Source organism: Homo sapiens, chromosome 2 (genome assembly GCF_000001405.40).
Source record: "Homo sapiens chromosome 2, GRCh38.p14 Primary Assembly".
NCBI lineage: Eukaryota > Metazoa > Chordata > Mammalia > Primates > Hominidae > Homo > Homo sapiens.
The window spans coordinates 182,330,703-182,351,229 of NC_000002.12; the positions used below are offsets into that span (position 1 = coordinate 182,330,703).

At 37.0% G+C, this 20,527-nt stretch overlaps 1 protein-coding gene and 1 long non-coding RNA gene across 23 annotated transcripts in view; both read right to left on the minus strand.

Moving 5' to 3' along the window:
* The window catches only part of PDE1A (phosphodiesterase 1A), a 576,757-nt gene that overhangs the window by 190,662 nt on the left and 365,568 nt on the right, over positions 1-20,527 (minus strand). The window lies entirely within an intron of this gene.
* LOC124907915 (uncharacterized) lies at positions 1,355-11,761 on the minus strand. The gene is made up of 2 exons (XR_007087329.1): positions 10,107-11,761; positions 1,355-7,327 (listed from the first exon to the last, which is right to left on the minus strand). It is a non-coding gene; the product is annotated as an uncharacterized LOC124907915 (long non-coding RNA).

Here is a 20,527-nt window from a genome sequence, read left to right on the forward strand (position 1 = left end):
GTGATGACCTCATTGCCAAACATAGTCATCTGATTTTAGTCCTCAAAATATAAAAAGTTATCTTTGGCCTTGCTGACTAGTTTCTTGGTTTCTCTAGCATCACTCTCTTGGTTCTGCTCCAGTTTCTTGAACCTCTCTCCCACACAGTCCTTTACAGCATCCCTTTCATTTCTGAATATTTCTTCCTTCCCTGGCCCCATAGGGAAATCTTGCTCCATGTGTTCTTCCTGGAGATCTCACTGGGCTTCCACTGGGAGCTGTAAGTGGCTAGTTTCCAGACATTGTGCTCCACCTTGCCTCTTAAATTCCAGAGGTACCTTTTTACCTGCTCACTGAACATCTCCACCAAGGGGGCTGTGAAGTCTTTGAAGCATATCTATTTATTTTGTATCCCCACTGACCTTCTTTCAGATGAGCAGATGGAGGCATAGAGAGGCTTAGTCACTTAGCTGAGATCACACAGTTAGGGAGTGGATGACTATAAACATCATACTGACTTGAATCTTGACGCTGAGGAAATTACTTAACTTTTCTGTGCTTAAGTTCACTCATCTACAAAAGGAGATTTTTAAAAGTCCCTATAAGTCTTGACTCTTTATCCAATTTGCCAGTCTGTGTCTTTTAATTGGGGCATTTAGCCCATTTACATTTAAGGTTAATATTGTTATGTGTGAATTTGATCCTATCATTATGCTAGCTAGTTATTTTGCCTAATAGTTGACGCAGTTTCTTCATAGTGTCGATGGTCTTTACAATTTGGGATGTTTTTGCAGTGGCTGGTACCAGTTTTTCCTTTCCATATTTAGTGCTTCCTTCAGGAGCTCTTGTAAGGCAAACCTGGTGGTGACAAAATCTCTCAGCATTTGCTTGTCTGTAAAAAATTTTATTTCTCCTTCGCTTATGAAGCTTAGTTTGGCTGGATATGAAATTCTGGGTTGAAAGTTCTTTTCTTTAAGAATGTTGAATATTGTCACCCACTCTCTTCTGGCTTGTAAGGTTTCTGCTGAGAGATCCACTATTAGTCTGATGGGCTTCCCTTTGTGGGTAACCCGACCTTTCTTTCTGGCTGCGCTTAACATTTTTTCCTTCATTTCAACCTTGGTGAATCTGACAATTATGTGTCTTGGGGTTGCTCTTCTCAAGTAGTATGTTTGTGGTGTTCTCTATATTTCCTGAATTTGAATGTTGGCCTGCCTTGCTAGGTTGGGGAAGTTCTCCTGGATAATAACCTGAAGAGTGTTTTCTAACTTGGTTCCATTCTCTCCCTCACTTTCAAGTACACCAATCAAACGTAGGTTTGGTCTTTTCACATAGTCTTATATTTCTTGGCGGGTTTGTTCATTTCTTTTCATTCTTTTTTTCTCTAATCTTGTCTTCACACTTTATTTCATTAAGTTCATCTTCAATCTATGATATCCTTTCTTCCGCTTCATCGATTCAGCTACTGATACTTGTGTATGGTTCACAAAGTTCTCGTGCTGCATTTTTCAGCTCCATCAGGTCTTTTATGTTCTTCTCTAAACTAGTTATTCTACTTAGCAATTCCTCTAACCTTTTTTCAAGGTTCTTAGCTTTCTTGCATTGGGTTAGAACATGCTCCTTTAGCTCGGAGGAGTTTGTTATTACCCTCTTTCTGAAGCCTACTTCTGTCAATTCATCAAACTCATTCTCTGTCCAGTTTTGTTCCCTTGCTGGCAAGGAGTTGTAATCCTTTGGAGGAGAAGAGAAGTTCTGGGTTTTGGGAATTCTCAGCCTTTTTGCACTGGTTTTTCCTCATCTTCATGGATTTAACTACCTTTGGTCTTTGATGTTTGTGACCTTCGCATGGGGTTTCTGGGGTTTTTGTGTGGATGTCCTTTTTGTTGATGTTGATGCTATTCCTTTTCATTTGTTCATTTTCCCGCTGCAGGTCTGCTGGAGTTTGCTGGGGAGCCACTCCAGACCCTGTTTGCCTGAGTATCACCAGCAGAGGCTGCAGAACAGCAAAGATTGCAGCCTGCTCCTTCCTCTGGAAGCTTCGTCCCAGAGGGGCACCCACCAGATGCCAGCCAGAGCTCTCCTGTATGAGGTGTTAGTTGACCCCTGCTGGGAGGTGCCTCCCAGTCAGGAGGCAAGGTGGTCAGGGACCATTTCACGTGGAAAGACACACATAGGCTCAAAATAAAGTGATGGAGAAATATTTACCAAGGAAATGGAAAGCAAGACAAAAAAAAGCAGGGATTGCAATCCTAGTGTCTGATAAACAGACTTTAAGCCAACAAATATCAGCATAGGCAAAGAAGGGCATTACATAATGGTAAACGAACCAATGCAACAAGAAGAGCTAACTATCCTAAATATATATGCACCCAATACAGGAGCATCCAAATTCATAAAGCAAGTTCTTAGAGACATACAAAGAGATGTAAACTCCCACACAATAATAGTGGGAGACTTTAACACTCCACTGTCAATATTAGACAGATCAACGAGACAGAAAATTAACAAGGACATTCGGGACTTGAACTCAGCTCTGGACCAAGCAGACTTAATAGACATCTACAGAACTCTCCATCCCAAATCAACAGAATATACATTCTTCTCAGCACCACATCACACTTCTTATAAAACTCACCACATAATTGGAAGTAAAACACTCCTCAGCAAATGCAAAAGGACTGAAATCAAAACAAACAGCCTCTCAGACCACAGTGCAATCAAATTAGAACTCAGGATTAAAAAATTCACCCAAAACCGCACAATTACATGGAAACTGAACAACCTACTCCTGAATGACTATTGGGTAAATAACGAAATTAAGGCAGAAATAAATAAGCTCTTTGAAACCAATGAGAACAAAGACACAATGTACCAGGATCTCTGGGACACAGGTAAAGCAGTGTTTAGAGGGAAATTTATAGCACTAGGTGCCCACAAGAGAAAGCAGAAAGATCTAAAATCAACATCCTAACATCACAATTAAAAGAAGTAAAGAAGCTAGAGAAAACAAATTCAAAAGCTAGCAGAAGACAAGAAATAATAAAGATCAGAGCAGAACTAAAGGAGATAGAGACACGAAAAACCCTTCAAAAAATCAATGAATCCAGGAGCTGGTCTTTTGAAAAGATTAACAAAATAGACAGACCACTAGCCAGACCAATAAAGAAGAAACGAGAGAAGAATCAAACAGCCACAATAAAAAATTATAAAGGGGATATCATCACTAATCCCACAGAAATAAAAACTACTGCCAGAGAATACTATAAACACCTCTATGCAAATAAACCAGAAAATCTAGAAGAAATGAATAAATTCCTGGACACATACACTATCCCAAGACTAAATCAGAAATAAGTTGAATAACTGAATAGACCAATAACAAGTTATGAAATTGAGGCAGTAATTAATAGCCTACCAACCAAAAAAAACCCAGGACCAGACAGATTCACAGCCGAATTCTACCAGAGGTATGAAGAGGAGCTGGTACCATTCCTTCTGAAACTATTCCAAACAATGGAAAAAGAAGGACTTCTCCCTAACTCATTTTATGAGGCCAGCATAATCCTGATACCAAACCCTGGAAGAGACACACACACACACACACACACATGCACACACACACACACCAAAAAAAAAAGAAAGAAAGAAAATTTCAGGCCAATATCCCTGATGAACATCGATGCAAAAATCCTCAATAAAATACTGGCAAACTGAATCCAGCAGCACATCAAAAAGCTTATGCAACACGATCAAGTTGGCTTCAACCCTGGGATGCAAGGCTGGTTCAACATATGCAAATCAATAAACGTAATCCATCACATAAACAGAACCAATGACAAAAACCATATGATTATCTCAATAGATGCAGAAAAGGCCTTCAATAAAATTCAACATGGCTTCATGCTGAAAACTCTCAATGAACTAGGTATTGATGGAATGTATCTCAAAATAATAAGAGCTATTTATGACAAACCTACAGCCAATATTATATTGAATGGGCAAAAGCTGGAAGCGTTCCCTTTCAAAACCAGCACAAAAAAAGGATGTCCTCTTTCACCACCCCTATTCAACATAGTTTTGGAAGTTCTGGCCAGAGCAATCAGGCAAGAGAAAGAAATAAAGCGTATTCAAATAGGAAGAGAGGAAGTCAAATTGTCTCTGTTTGCAGATGACATGACTGTATATTCAGAAAACCCCATTGTCTCAGCCCAAAATCCCCTTAAGCTGATGAGCAACTTCAGCAAAGTCTCAGGATACAAAATCAATGTGCAAAATTCACAAGCATTCCTATACACAAATAATAGACAAACAGAGAGCCAAATCATGAGTGAACCCCCATTTACAATTTCTACAAGGAGAATAAAGTAACTAAGAATACAGCTTATAAGGGATGTGAAGGACCTCTTCAAGGAGAACTGCTCAAGAAAATAAGAGAGGACACAAACAAATGGAAAAACATTCCATGCTCATGGATAGGAAGAATCAATATCATGAAAATGGCCATACTGCCCTAGGTAATTTATAAGTTCAATGCTATCCCCATCAAGCTACCACTGACTTTCTTCACAGAATTAGAAAAAATGACTTTAAATTTCATATTGAACCAAAAAGGAGCCCATACAGCCAAGACAATCCTAAGCAAAAAGAACAAAGCTGGAGGCATCACGCTACCTGACTTCAAACTATACTACAAGGTTACAGTAACCAAAACAGCATGGTACTGATACCAAAACAGATTTATAGACCAATGGAACAGAACAGAGGCCTCAGAAATAACGCCAACACATCTACTAACTTCTGATCTTTGACAACCCTGACAAAAACAAGCAATGGGGAAAGGATTCCCTATTTAATAAATGGTGTTGGGAAAACTGGCTGGCCATATGCAGAAAACAGAAACTGGATCCCTTCCTTACACCTTATACAAAAGTTAACTCAAGATGGATTAAAGACTTAAACGTAAGACCTTAAATCATAAAAACCCTAGAAGAAAACCTAGGCAATACCATTGAGGACATAGGCATGGGCAAATCTTCATGAGTAAAACATCAAAAGCAATGGCGACAAAAGCCAAAATTGACAAGTGGGATATAATTAAATTAAAGAGCTGCTGCATAGCAAAAGAAACTATCATCAGCATGAACAGGCAACCTATAGAATGGGAGAAAATTTTTGCAATTTATCCACCTGACAATGGGCTAATATCCAGAATCTACAAGGAACTTAAACAAATTTACAAGAAAAAAATAAACAACCCCATCAAAAAGTGGGCAAAGGATATGAACAGACACTTATCAAAAGTAGACATTTATCTGGCCAACAAACATATGAAAAAAAGCTCATCATCACTGGTCATTAGAGAAATGCAAATCAAAACCACAATGAGATACTATCTCACGCCAGTTAGAATGGTGATCATTTAAAAGTCAGGAAAAAACACATGGTGAAGAGGATGTGAAGAAATAGGAACACTTTTACACTGTTGGTGGCAGAGTAGATTAGTTCAACCATTGTGGAAGACAGTATGGCGATTCCTCAAGGACCTAGAACCAGAAATACCATTTGACCCAGCAATCCCTTTACTGGGTATATACCCAAGAGATTATAAATCATTCTACTATAAAGACACATGCACACATATGTCTATTGTGGCCCTATTCACAATAGCAAAGATTTGGAAGCAACCCAAATGCCCATCAATTTTAGACTGGATAAAGAAAATGTGGCACATATGCAACATGGAATACTATGCAGCCATAAAGAAGGATGAGTTCATGTCCTTTGCAGGGACATGGATGAAGCTGAACACCATCATTCTCAGCAAACTAACACAGGAACAGAAAACCAAACACCACATGTTCTCACTCATAAGTGGGAGTTGAACAATGAGAACACATGGACATAAGGAGAGGAACGTCACACACCAGGGCCTGTCAGCGGGTAGGGGGCTAGGGGAGGGATAGCATTAGGAGAAATACCTAATGTAGATGATGGGTTGATGGGTGCAGCAAACCACCATGGCACGTGTATACCTATGTAACAAAACTGCACGTTTTGCACATGTACCCCAGAACTTAAAGTATATATATATATATAAGTCCCTATGAGAGTTGAACAATGAGAACACATGGACACAGAGAGGGGAACAACACACAACAGGGCCTGTTGGGGGTAGGGTGTGAGGGGAGGAAACTTAGAGGATGGATCAATAGGTGCAGCAAACCACCATGGCACACATAGACCTAAGTAACAAACCTGCAGGTTCTGCACATGTATCCCTTTTTTTTTTTTTTTTAAATAAAGAATAAAAATAAAAGTCCCTATGATACAAAGTGGCTATGAGAATTAAAATAAAATACACATATAAAATAGTATTTAGAAGAGTACATTGTAAGTGGTAAATACTTGGTACATAGTAAATGGTAAATACATGTTAGGTTGTATTTTCCTTATCTGGAGTTTAATGTATACACTTTGCCTTATATGTACAGTGTGAAGTGCACAACCTCAAAGGTAGGGAAAGGATTTGAACAGAAAAAGATGGAAAGATTGTGACTTTCAAAGGAAAGAAATACATACAAAATAAAGCAGAACATTAAGTGGAAAGAAAGAAAATATCCTACATGTTAAGAGTTTCACAGTTAATTTCATGTAAACATTATATGAAACATACTTAGTTAACCACATTATAATACAGAGTTATGTTCAATTTACCATCTAAATGGTAGAGTGTGTGTGGAATCTTCAGAATGTAAATAATTGTCATTTTCAAAGTCATGAAATTATTAATTACCTAAAACTTTTGGTAAATAACATGTCATTTCATCTTCTCCACTGTAAAAATTAGCCCTTAGAATCTAGAAATTAGCTTTTCACTAGAGTTTCCAAATAATTTGGAGAATGGCCTTTTGTACTTTCAGATGCCAGAGCACTTGGGAAGAAACAGAAGCTATCATTAGAAAGCTGCTTCATTTCCTTTCCCCATCCATGGTCAATAACCTTCGACAGCTGATCTAAAAAGGTCGCCTATTCTAAGTATCACAGGATAGAGTTATGTCAAATTGGACTTAATGAATGTTGTTACCTTTTTGACAAAAAGCAAAATGATCCTTTTCAGTGCACTAAAGGTAAATATAGGATTTTAAAAAAAAAGAAAGTGTGATACCCCTCTGTTATTAGTAATGTCTATGTCAAAATATTAGACACTAAACCAAAACTACCTTTGTCAATTTTCATCCTCAATGACCTACCTGTCATTTGATGTTCCAGAGCCATTAGGTCTATATCACATAGGTATGTTCCTACTGGATCCTCCATTTTTTAAATGTCCTTCAGCAAGACCTGCACACTATTAGCACAGTTTGAATGGATTAAAATATTCTAATGCCATCATTTCAGAGGTAAGTCTACAGAGAAGAGACAGTCATTCAAAGATGCATGACACTTTGGATCCATTGAGTTCATCCTCTTACTGCCTTGAATGAGGCCACAAGAGAAGTGAGGATGCTGGAGCTGGCAGCACCTACATGTGAACCCTGACTCTAACACCCAGTAACTGTTTGATGTGGAATTACATAAGCCATCTTTGGGTCTCAGCTTTCTCATCTGTAAAATAGGTATAATATCACTCACTTCACAGGGACTTCATGAAATGAGCGTGTAAAATGCTTTTAATAAATGTTAGTTCACTTTCTTGATCTAACATGAGAGTTCTTTTCTTGTTGGTTCTGCACTTAGAATTTTAACTTGCATAAGTACCTATGTAATCAAAACCACTTTACTCATCACAATATCAGCTATCACTGATTCCACCCTTCCACTAAGCATATGGTTTTATTTATTTGTTTGTTTGTTTGTTTTTGAGACAGTGTCTCATTCTGCCATCCAGGCTGGAGAGTAGTGGTGTGATCTCGGCTCACTGCAACCTCTGCCTCCCAGGTTCAGCCATTCTCCTGCCTCAGCCTCCCAAGTAGCTGGGACTATAAGCACCTGACACCACGCCTGGCTAATTTTTGTATTTTTAGTAGAGACGGGGTTTCACCATATTGGCCAGGCTGGTCTCAAACTCCTCACCTCGTGATCTACCCGCCTCGGCCTGCCAAAGTGCTGGGATTACAGGTGTGACCCGCTGTGCCCAGCCGGTTTTATTTTTAACCAGAAGGCAAGGGCTTGAGATGACAGACAAGTAAGTCATCTGTTTTATTTTGCCTGACTGCACCCAATAGTAGCAACCAATATTTCAGTGGTAACTAGACTGAATTTAATGAGGTGCTTGAAACTCTTAGCCTTATTTTCTGTTGATGATTATCAGTGTGTTTCTGAAGAATATGAATTTTAATTAAATTCTTCCTCATGGATTTGTGCTGAAGATGTTTTTTTTCTATATGTTTACAAAAGGATAACCTTGCCCTAACCTCAAGGCATATTTCCTCTTCTTTGTACCACTGCATAAAAGAAAATTTTACAGGGTGTGTTACTAGGAGTCCTTTAGTAGAACTAAAAGAGACACAATGAATAGAACCACTTCCACTTGTTTAATAGATTGTGAAGACTTTCAATGAAATTTGTATTTCTCAAAGGTGCATTTTTTTTACCCTACCTCATTTCATATTACTTTTTTATTTCTCAAGTTGCCTGAGAAAATGTTCAGTATAAACTAGATGCTCTTATCCATGAATTTCCATTCTGTAAACAAAAGTATGGCAATAAAAATCTCATTCTTGAAAATTACTTTTTAAAAGAGCTATAAAATTCAAACACAATCTAGATTCAACAAAAATTAAGCTTACTTAATTTGAATAAGATGCTTTCATTACTGTAATAATATGTAACTCAAATAATCATCAGAACATAACTGCTTTGAAAAGTGACTCAATTCAATTCTTTGTGTTAAAATGCTCACATAAAAATGGCCTGAGTTCTACAAGTCCTGTTCTATCTGCTGGAGCCTACTGCACTTCTAAATCTTGAACAATTGGGAGTTAAAAGGCAAGGGCTGGTCCCTCTTTCAGAGGAAATTAAATATTCTACTTCCATCTATGACAGTGGTTCCAAAACCTGCCCACTCATAATCTCTTGTAGAGCATTTTAAAAATATTAACACTCCATGAAATTTTGATTTAGCAGGTCTACTCCATGTAGATTCCATGAAACTTTTGCAATTATTCTTATGTTTTGTGAAAGAGGGAGAAGAGTTTTCATTTTCTAAAGTCCTAAACCCAATTTACTTAGGGCAAAGGGAATGATAATCATATATTCAATATCCTACTTTATTCTAGAGATGTAAATATGCCTCAGAATAATCCTGATAAAGCAAGCTCTTGCTGCGTAGTTTGGGCATAGATGGCTGAGATTATACTGTAAAATGCAACTTTCATTAAAGAACAATTTATGGGGATTGTTGAATTATGACAAGGCCAAGGTAAACGTTAAAATGAAGTATATGCAGTTTGTAGATTTATAAAATTGTCAGAAGAGTTTCAAAATAAGCAAATGGCTGCTTTTAAGGTCATTTGTAATATATGCAACTGTACTTCTATTTGCTTTCAGGCAAATTATATCCAATTTAAATGTTATTCTTCAGAAAGTATGTCTAATAAAATTCACCACCATAACTTCTGCATGGGTAATGCCTGCTCTCATCACTGAAGACTAGTTTGCTGTCAAAACTTTCAAAGAGCCTCCAAGTGAAATGAATACTGAAGAATAAAGCTTCTAAAGGCTATTTTGGGTTCCGACACCTCCTTTCTCATGTGGCATTAAACTAAGCCAAGGGCACCTTGTCTCATAAAACTCACTTCATGAAATACCTCTTGTAAAACTGCAGAAAATGGGAAGTTTGAAATTAGAAACAGAATACAAAAGAGAAGCTAGCCCTTAACTACATGTAGCATCTTCAGATTTTTAAGTAGGAGGAAAAGTGGTTAAGAAAGGGTTTTCTGTGAAAATTGCATGACTATGTTATATATAAATTAAATAGCTAGAATGTAAGGGACAATAGCTAGCTTTTCTGTAGCCCTGATGTTAAAACAGAAGGAAGTTAACCGAAATCTGGGTATTAAAAATAATTTAATGATGATGAATGTTTTAACAGATCAAATGGATATATTGTAGAGAATTTCTCTTACCTCTCCTTTAGAGTCATGATGCCTGGTTATGCCAGGCTAGTTGTAGAATCATGGATAAATCAAACGGATCTTCTAGGTCTCAGAATTCTCATTTGTAAAATGGAGAGTTTGGATACGTAATTTAACTTCTAAGGTGTCTTCCTGTTCTCTGGACTCTGACTTAAAGTGTTATTTCCTCCTAGAAGCTTCGAAAGTGTAAACTGTTTTCTAACATGCTCTGGCATTGTTTAGTATGGTGCTGAGCATACAGGAATTTGGCTGTTCATTAATAATAAAACCTAAGTTTTCAATAGTATGTTACTCCTTCAAAGTACTCTTATAAACATCAACACTTTCAATCCCAATTCTCACAACGTTATAGAGAGGAACATGGACATGAATAATTCCCTTCATTTTATTAAGGAGAGAAGCAAAATTCAAGCGATTTGGGATCCTATCTAAATTACAAGACCAAGAAGTAGCCAATCTGGCTCAAGAAGCCAAGATTTCTAACTCCTCATCCACAGCATCCTATTGATGAAGTCATTTGTATGAGTTGTGCTTGTATACAGAGGCTATTTTTCTAAATTTCTAACTATAAAAACAGCAATATTTGTGGCAATAACTGTTTTAATGTCATCTTTGAAGATATCCCCATTGTTAATCGTCTTTGTTTAGTCCCATGGTACACTCATATGGGAACTCCAATCTACCTCATAGTTCCCTTCCCTGAAGATTCAGCAGCCCCAGAAACTCCAGCCTGGCCTGGTCATATATTTTGATAAACAGGTGTGACATGCAGTTTTATCTTATCCATCACCCCCATAAAGCATAAGCTCTTACTTATGAAATTTTCTTTGTAACTTCACTGAGTGAGCAATTGATAGGGAGAAAGCTATTCTTACTCTGGTGCTTTATTGTGTTCACATGTGACACTTTCTTTGAATAAGCTACAAATTTGGTAAAATTTCTTTATCCTCTTTTTTTGAGATAGGGTCTTTCTCTGCCATTCAGGCTTGGAGTGTAGTGGTGCAATCATGGCTCACTGCAACCTCAAACCTCTGGGCTTAAACAATCCTCCCATCTCAGCCTCTCCAGTAGCTAAGACTACAGACACACGCCACCACACCCAGCTACTTTTTTTAAAAAAGTGTTATTTATTGTAGAGACCAGGCCTCGCTATGTTGCCCAGGCTGATCTGGAACTCCTAGCCTCTAGTGACTCTCCCACTTCAGCTTCCCAAAGCACTGGGATTAACAGGCATGAGCCACCACACCCGGCCCTTTTCTATAGTTATCTTTTATATATTAGCAGAATTTTCTCATATTTGCTCCCAGAAATTTTGTGTTAAATGTTCATTTTATAACTATTAAACAATCTTTTATGTTTTGGCTGAGAACATTTCACTTCTTTGTACTATACCTGGACCAGACTTGGTAGACAAATCAGAAAGTGTTGTTGTTGTTTGTTTTTATATAGTATTTTTTGTTTCTTAAATTTTAAGTTCAGAGGTATATTTGTAGGTTTGTTACATAGGTAAGCACGTGTCATGAAGGTTTGTTGTAAAGAAAGATTTTTCAAAGATTCTGAAGCAAAAAACATCACCTAAACATAGGCCAGGCACGGTGGCTCACGCCTGTAATCCCAGCACCTTGGGAGGCAAAGGAGGGAGGATCACGAGGTCAGGAGATGGAGACCATCCTGGCTAACACGGTGAAACCTCATCTCTACTAAAAATACAAAAAATTAGACTGGCGTGGTAACACGTGCCTGTAGTCCTAGCTACTCAGGAGGCTGAGGCAGGAGAATCACTTGAACCTGGGAGGTGGAGGTTGCAGTGAGCTGAGATCGCGCCACTGCACTCCAGCCTGGGCAACAAAGCGAGACTCCGTCTCAAAAATGAAAAACAAAACAAACACACACAAAAAAACTAAGTTAATTTATACTGAGTTTTCTATTTAAAATATAGAAATAGTCATCATTTATATGGAACCATATTACATAACATAATTTCATATGGAACTCTTTTGCAAGAAAGTCAATAGACTCTTTCATACCTATAACTAGAGATTCTAATGTGTTATACTGAAGAGAGGTTCAGGGCTCCAGAATAATAAGACACTTTCTCTGTCCCTTAGACTCCTATGCAGGATAAGGTGAATATACAATATGTATATGCACATACATGCGTTCACATATGTTTGTGTGTGAATACATGTACAAACTGCATATGAAGAATAAATGCAACTATAATTATGTTTTATAATTGGACTATGGAGTGGATACATTGTCTTATATACAAATAGGCCCATAATACTCATTGGTTGACACCTGAATGTTCTGCATGAATCAGTTCATCCACTTAGAGTGTGCATAATTCAATTTACAATGTCACCACCTGCAAGGACACGGTCAATTCAGGTATAGTCACAGTTCAAGGTTGTTTTGTTTGGGCATTTTGGTGGAAATTTAACATTAAGCAGGCAGGTCTAATTCCTGCTTATTCACTATAAATTAGAGTTAATAGTTATCACCTTATTCCCTGGCTAACATTTAATAGATATACAGCACTATACCAACTAACCACTTCACAGTACATATACATAATTTAAATAGGAAATAATTCTGAAGGTTTTCAGATGCCATAAGCAGCAGACCTAACTAGGTGATCTTTGAATTTTATTCTTACAATATTAGTATAATATGTTTCTTCTAAGATAAGAAAACAACTAGAAAATTTGTCATTAAAATTGCTCCAACCTCTAAAAATTCTTACACTTAAAACATTTTGCAGCCTAATTGACAAGGTTAGCATTTTATACAGGTCTATGTCTTCTAAACTATTATTGTGTTTTTGCAATATACTTATCAATTAATTGTGATAACAATTAAATTGGGTATTGTGGTACCAGAATTACAATATTACCATTTATGATTTCTTATATTTAGTAATTAAGATATTAAATGTTTTATCTCTGGCAAGAATATCCAAAGACCATCGACCATATTTTATCTCTGTCAAGAATATCCAAAGACCACATTACTATGTCCAAATACATAGTAATCTCTTAATCTTTTTCTTTTTCTTTTTTTTTTTTTGTTGAGGCAGAGTCTTACTCTCACTCAGGCTGGAGTGCAGTGGCACAATCACAGCTCAGTGCAGCCTCAACCTCCCTGGGCTCAGGTGATCCTCCTATCTCAGCTTCCCAAGTAACTGGGACTACAGGCACACGCCACCATGCCTGGCTAATTTTTAATATTTTTTGTAGATTCAAAGTCTCATTATGTTGCCCAGGTTGGTCTCAAACTCCTGGGTTCAAGTAATTCTCCTGCCTTGGCCTCCCAAAGTGCTGGTATTACAGGCATGAGAAATGAAGCCTGGCCTTTTAATCAATATTTTTGAAGCCATCACTGAAATTTAATTGAAAATATTGTTTATATTTTTGCATCATACTATAAAATATATGAATATAGGGAATCTTATTCATATGCAATGAAATATATATAATGTTTACAAAGAAAATATGAACAAATATTTTAAAATGAAAACTCAGGATTATAAGTATACACAAATACATTGTATGTTGATTTGCTCTTACTAATGGCTGCAAATTGGCTTCAATCTTCCTAGCTATTGTACTTAATTATAACATAATTTGATTGTCTCCAGACTCCATACTATTTTATACACAATCACTCAGAGCAGAGCATTCGACTCATCTTGGCTTTTTTTAACACCTCCACTTGTAGTCATGGCCTCTGCTTTACCATTATGTCAATACTTATGGTTATTTTCTGGACAAAGAAATATTCAGTACCAAAAGTGTATTTCTATCTTTACCTTTGCAAGATGGAAAACTGCTTGCATCTTTAAAGTAATAGTGTCTGTACTAGGTTTTTGTTTGTTTTGCTTGTTTTTCTTCTTTCTTTCCTTTCTCTCTGTCTCTCTGTCTCTCTCTCTCTCACACACACACACACACACATACACAGTGTGCTCACACACTCACACAAAGATTTCAAAGATTTTAAGAAAGCATCTCATCCAGGCCTCAAGTTCAAAGTGCCAGTTATTTGACTTCCCTGACAGAAGCCCCTGCAGAAAAAAAGAGCTTGTCCCAAACCCACAATCTGTAAATGGCCACCTCATTCTGAAGTGACCTCAGAGAAAACACCCCGATTCAGTGCACTGTCTTTTCCTTGGTTTTCTACCAGGTCTGCACTCTTCTCTTAGAATCAACCAGGATACCCTGGCTTGTTTTGGGGGCTAAAATGGGATGACTATTTTCAAGTCTTTATTTAGGCTTTATTTGGTTATTTATTTATTTAGGCTTTATTTATAAATGGCTTCCACATTTATATCTTTAGCCTAAAGCTCTCTATCCCATCACCATCTCCACTTAGATAATTAATAGACATCTAACACTGAATATGCTGATAAATGACCTCCCAGGGTTTCACCCTCCATTTCTGATGTCCCCATCTTGGTGAACGGTGGCATGTTCTTCAAGGTGCTAACCCACACACCTTTAAGTTATCCTTGCGTTATCTTTCTCCTTCACCTCACATAGAAATCCAGGACTTAGGACACAATTTCTTGCCTATAGTACACCAATAAATATTATTTCCTGCTTCGTCTCTTAGCTTTCCATCATCTATTCTGAACAGCAGTCAGATTCTCTGCCAAAAACCATCCATGTTTCCCTATCTCACTCAAGGTAAAAACTGAGCTTGCTAATACGACTTAAGAGACTCTACACAGCCTTATCCCAGTTATTACAGACCTCCTCTCCTCCCACGCCTCCTCTTAATCACACTTTCTGCAGCTACCCTGGCTCCCCTGCTATTCATTGAACATACCAGCATGCTCCTGCTTAAACAGTCTTTGTAATGGTTGTTTCCTCTGCCAGGAATACTCTTCCCCCAGGTTCTGTGTGGCTTGTTCCCTCATCCACTTCAAGTCTTTGCTCCATCTCTTTCTCATCAAGGCCACTCTGACCACCATAGTTAAAGCTGAAGACTCTGCCAGCACTCTCATGTCCCCTCCCCGTGATTGCCTTTGCGTTATTTCCATAGCATACTCCACCATCCAACATACTAAGGAATGTACTTATTTATTACTTTATTGTTTATTATCTGTCTCCTGCAATGTTACCTCTGCAAGGAGAAGGAAATGTGTCTGATTAAGTCAAATGAAGTAACACGAGAGTGAGGGTATCAGACACATATATAGTAGACAGCATAAATGTTCCTTAAAGGAATATATTATCATCAGGCTTTTAGATCTGTATGTCTTACCAAAAACAGACAAGCTATGTTATTAAAGTTTAGATTTTCTAGAAACATAAATATCTTCAGCATTTATCTATTCTAGTTGTTTACTAGTGTAAACATTTAGTTTTTAAGGTATATTATCCCCACCAACAAGAGGCAAAATAAATAAATAAATAACAAAAAACTCAGCAATTGTGGAAATTAATCTTAAATTTTAGCTTATTCTATGGTTAAAAACAATTGCAAAAGGAAAACTCAAAACTTCCTTTAATGGAACACAAGGATAGATTAAGAAAAAATACGGTAGAACTAAAATTTCCATAAAAGAGCAGACATGTTTTCTTATGGATACCAGATCAGGGAGGGTAAGTTGGAGGTAAAATAGAGAAGATGAAGACAATATTTACTGAGTACCATGTCAGGAACTGTGTTAGAAATTTTATTTCATATTGCATTATTTTTCAAATCAAGCAGTTTAGTTTTAAAAGAATAATACATGTAATGGTACAATGTTCTAAAGGTATAAAAGAGTATACCCTAAAAAGTAAGTCTCTCTCCCATCTCGACACCTGCAACACATCCAGTTCCTCTCCCTGGAGGGAAAAATTGCAACCTGTTTTTCCTGTAACCTTTTAGAGATGAATCTATGCACATACAGATGAAGGTATCTGTGCATATTTACATATCTGTACAAAAATGATCATTGATTCCTACTTCAATATGAGAAAATCAACTCAGAGGGTTTAAATGACAATCCTATGATCACTCAGAGAATAAATAACAGAGCCAGGATTTGAGCTCATACCTGTCTACATCTAAGCCCGTACCAAAGAAAAAAATCTCAAGTATTTCACCCAAGACTTCTGAGAAAATTTACTTGTCCTTCATAGAAGCACTTTTCTTTCATTTGGCAGCTGGTAAAGAAGTAGACTATTAAGACACTGTATTCTTTTTCAGAAAATTATTTTGAAACCAAAGCTGAGATAAAGGTCTATAAGACAGACCCGATGGTCAAATGGTTAAGTCCTCATCTATGTCAGAAAGAAAGACAAGTTACCAAAAAGCTGAGTTTTTTTTTTCCCTCTGGCCTATGTGTAAAAGCCATTTAGTCAGAAAATGTTGATTTAAATCCTGATCAGAAAATTTTTAATTTTGTTTAAAGCTCCAGATCTCTCTTTGATAAGTACATTGACCTACCATGCTAATAACTCAAGGAGAAAGGAATATGCACAGAATCTGCTATGAAGAAAGCGATTTTCCTAATTTCAACTATGAGTCTAATTTAAAGGGGTAAACTCAGAAATTAATATTAAAATCTTCGGAGCTTTCAGTATAATAGCTCATTTGTGCTATGTTTCTGTATAACTCATATATTCAGTCCCAATATTAATCTACTTGGGTATCCATTTCATTTATTAAAATTATGTTTCCCTCCCTCGTAATCTCCTTTAATAACATACTTTCTTTGCCTCTGGTACAATCATGGATTGAAATCTTTGTTAACTGTAGCATGAATTCTGTCCTTGGAACATTGTTTTTTTGTCCACGTATTGAAACTCTCCAATGCATATCAATTGCCTAATTTAAGACAGGTGCCATGCTAGATATTGTGCAGTAAGAATGAATACGGTGAATGCTCCATTTTCAAAGAAATTGCCAACTGCTAGAAAAGACAAGAATGTATATAAATAATTATAGTGCAAAGCCATAGAAGAGATATAAACAAAGCACTATGTGAGCACAAAGTTTTGAGTATTCATTTTAACAGAGAGGATCAGAAATAGCTTCATGAAGGAGGAGCATAAAAACTGAAAATTAAAAAGGGTTTATGCTAGTTGAGGGGAAAAGTAAAAGAAAAAAATAGAATGGTAGTACAGCGTTTTCTTTGAAAGAAGCAACACGTAGTTTTGGGGAAAAAGGATTTGTAATGCTATCCACAAATGAAGTGACACATTTAAGTCAATTACCCTCCTAGAGATTTGAGAAGACTATTGCACTTAAACTCACCCATACTATGCTGATGTAAAACCAGCCAGCATTTTTGTCATTTATTTGGGACCTACTACTTGGCTATAATCACAGATCTTTAAGAAAAATAATGTATCCCTTAAATTAAGGATTTGCTTTATGTTAATAGTCTTTAATAAGCCAGTATGGGCAAAGGAAAGTAAACAAAAAGTAGAAAGATGCCATTTCTCCATTTTGTGTATGTTGCCAGGAATCTTCAGGAACTTAGGCAGATTGTTAGACTCTTTCAGTAAGAGGAACTAATCATGCTTAAGAGAAAAGTGGTAGATAGAGAAGGTGAATGGGGCCATTGAACATGTATAGAACAATTCAGGATTCTGTGACCTCTGACTTTACGGATATCCATTACTTATAGGAATCAGCCCACATCACCTAACAGGAAGGCCATAAATTCCCTAGAAAAGATTTCCTCCCATATTCTCTCATGGTTCAGGGAATTTCTCCTGGTTCTTCGCACATGTTCCAGCTATTTCTCCTGTCTTTGACACATCTTAATAAGTGTCACATCTATACATGTATAGATTACATGTATCCAATTGATTATTTGGACTCTATGCTATCCTGTCCATTTCATTTCATTCCATTTCTTTGATCCATAAAGTAGTTCTTAGTTCATCTTAGCTCTATGTTTAGCTACACTCCCAGTTGCATCCCTGGATCTCAAAACCTTACCTTGTGACAGAGCTTTGGGCTACTAGATGTCTGAGAGGGTAATTGAACCTTATTCTAAATTTTTAGTTCAAATTGTTCTGTACTTTCCTCTACTAAAACAGATTGAGCTAGACGGTTTTGTCTGTGGATAGAGGAAAGAACTCAAGACAGAAAAGGCTGTGTAAAGGAGGTGGGACAGTTTGAATTTCCGTAAAAAGTGTTACTATAACACCAAAATAAACTAATCTGTTCTGATAAATGTTATATTAATAGGCATCTCCAATAAGGATCTAGGTAGAATAAAATGTCATTGCTATAGTGATTTCAGTCTCAGGAGAATTGAAAATAACTCAAGGGTACGTACAGACCAGACCTTTGACTGCTAAGTTTATTTAGTTAGAAAGCTCTTTGCTGTGGATGCCAGGAGAAGTATTTCAATATACTGAAGATTACAAAATGGAGGTCACTGAGAAAAAGGGAAGCCTCTGTGGGTGAACAACTTAATTTTTTAACTACCATAAATAAACAGGATAAACATAGAATCTGTCTGAAAAAGACACACTTTCCATTTCTCTTTGCCAAAATCAAATACTGGCCTCCAACTGTGCCAGCATAGGTCAGCAAAGTAACATGGCTGTTGAGTTCTTGGGATCTTAACTACAACAACAAATTGAATGGAAAAGCTTTTCAGTAACAAGCATTTATGTTTAGATTTTGTCATGTTTTTTATTTTTCTTGGTCAGAGACCAAATTGGTGGAATTTTTAGTAGTGTTTATGACACTGAAAGGCACGTGAAATTTCTGTAAACCATCAATCTTCTGATTAGAAAGATTAAGATTTGTCAAACTGCATTCCTTCCCAAAGTCATAGCCTTCTAGACATGGTACTTGATCTGAAAATTAAAACACAAACATCGGAGGCTGAGGCAGGAGAATCGCTTGAATCCGGGAGGCGGAGGTTGCAGTGAGCCGAGATTGCACCACTGCACTCCAGCCTGGCAGCAGAGTGAGACTCCATCTCAAAACAAAAACAAAAACAAAAGCACACAAACATAAAGACACACGCAAACAGAGATTAAAAGAAAAGATAGCCTAAGCCTCTGGAGGGTAACAGTAGGCGAGTAGCAGTGAATAGAAGAATGCAAGATTTTTTTACTACTGTATTTTTTTTAACTTTTTATTGACATATAACATACATACAGAAAATGCACAAATCTTAAGTTACAACCTGATGAGCTTTTCTAGATTAACACTGGCTCCCAGATTAAGAAAGAAAATATTATCAGGACACTGAAAGTTCCATTTATTCCTCTTTCAGTACTTATCCTGCCCCCACCGAGTGTAACCATTACTGTGACTTCTAACACCACAGTAACTAACACCATAGATTAGTTCTGCCTATTTTTAAAATGCATATACATGAAATTACACCGTGTGTACTCTTCTGTATTTGGTTTCTCTGATTCAGCATTATCTTTGGGAGATTAATGTATCTTGTTGTTTGTGGATGTACTCTGTTTCCAGAATTAATTGTGCATTTGGATGATTCTCAGTATTGGGCTATGAGAGATGGAACTTCTGTGAACATTCTTGTACATGGCTTTAGATGAATGTATGCATTTCTATTAGATATTTTCCTTGGAGTGGAATTGCTGGGGATGCTTATATCCTGTGTGCTAGCTATCGTATCTTTATTTGAGAATAAGCAGAAGTAGTTTCTCACAAAGAATGGCTACATACAAGGTCAGTTATAGAATGTACAGGTTACAGTGCAAAATAAAAATGCAAGGCCCCTTTTTAAAAAGCAGGAAAAAAGTGCAGTTCAAGGTATAAAGTTTTTTTCTTTCTTCCATGATGTTTTTCTTGACTTGTCATGATGATTTTTAATTGCTATATAATTATATTCTAAGTAAAGAAAAGCTCCAGATTCCTCATTCACAGTCAAGAAGAGTGGTGTGTTCAGACTCTAGGAGGACATTTCCAGTTATCTCCATGGACTTCTCATCTGTAGAGTGGGGCATGGCCAGAGCAGTGCCAGAGAAGGGACCAAGGTAGAGTCCCCCAGGACCCAGCTATAGGGACAGTACTGCCCCCACCCTAGCTACTACCAATATCACCCTCACACGTTGACTCACCCACCTATCATTACTCCCTGCCCTATAATATTCTGCTCCCTGATTTTCTTTATCTCAAAGAAAGGCTCTAGTTGTTACCACTCTGTAACTTTTATAGCTTCTCTTTGTTTTTATGAACTATGATAAATGCAAGTTTGGCTTATGGTAAAAGATGTTTTTGCTTGTTCTTGTTTCAGCAGTATTAACAGAAAGCACACTGAGCAACAGAACGTGTTCTTGGGATAATTTGAAGAAAAATGCTTTTGATATAAGCAGACCCTGTCTTCTAGGGACTCTAGAAATAATTTAATTAAACTCCAACTTTGCCTCGCAGCACTTGAGGACTACAGACAATTTTGTCCTCTTAGTTCATTGCTT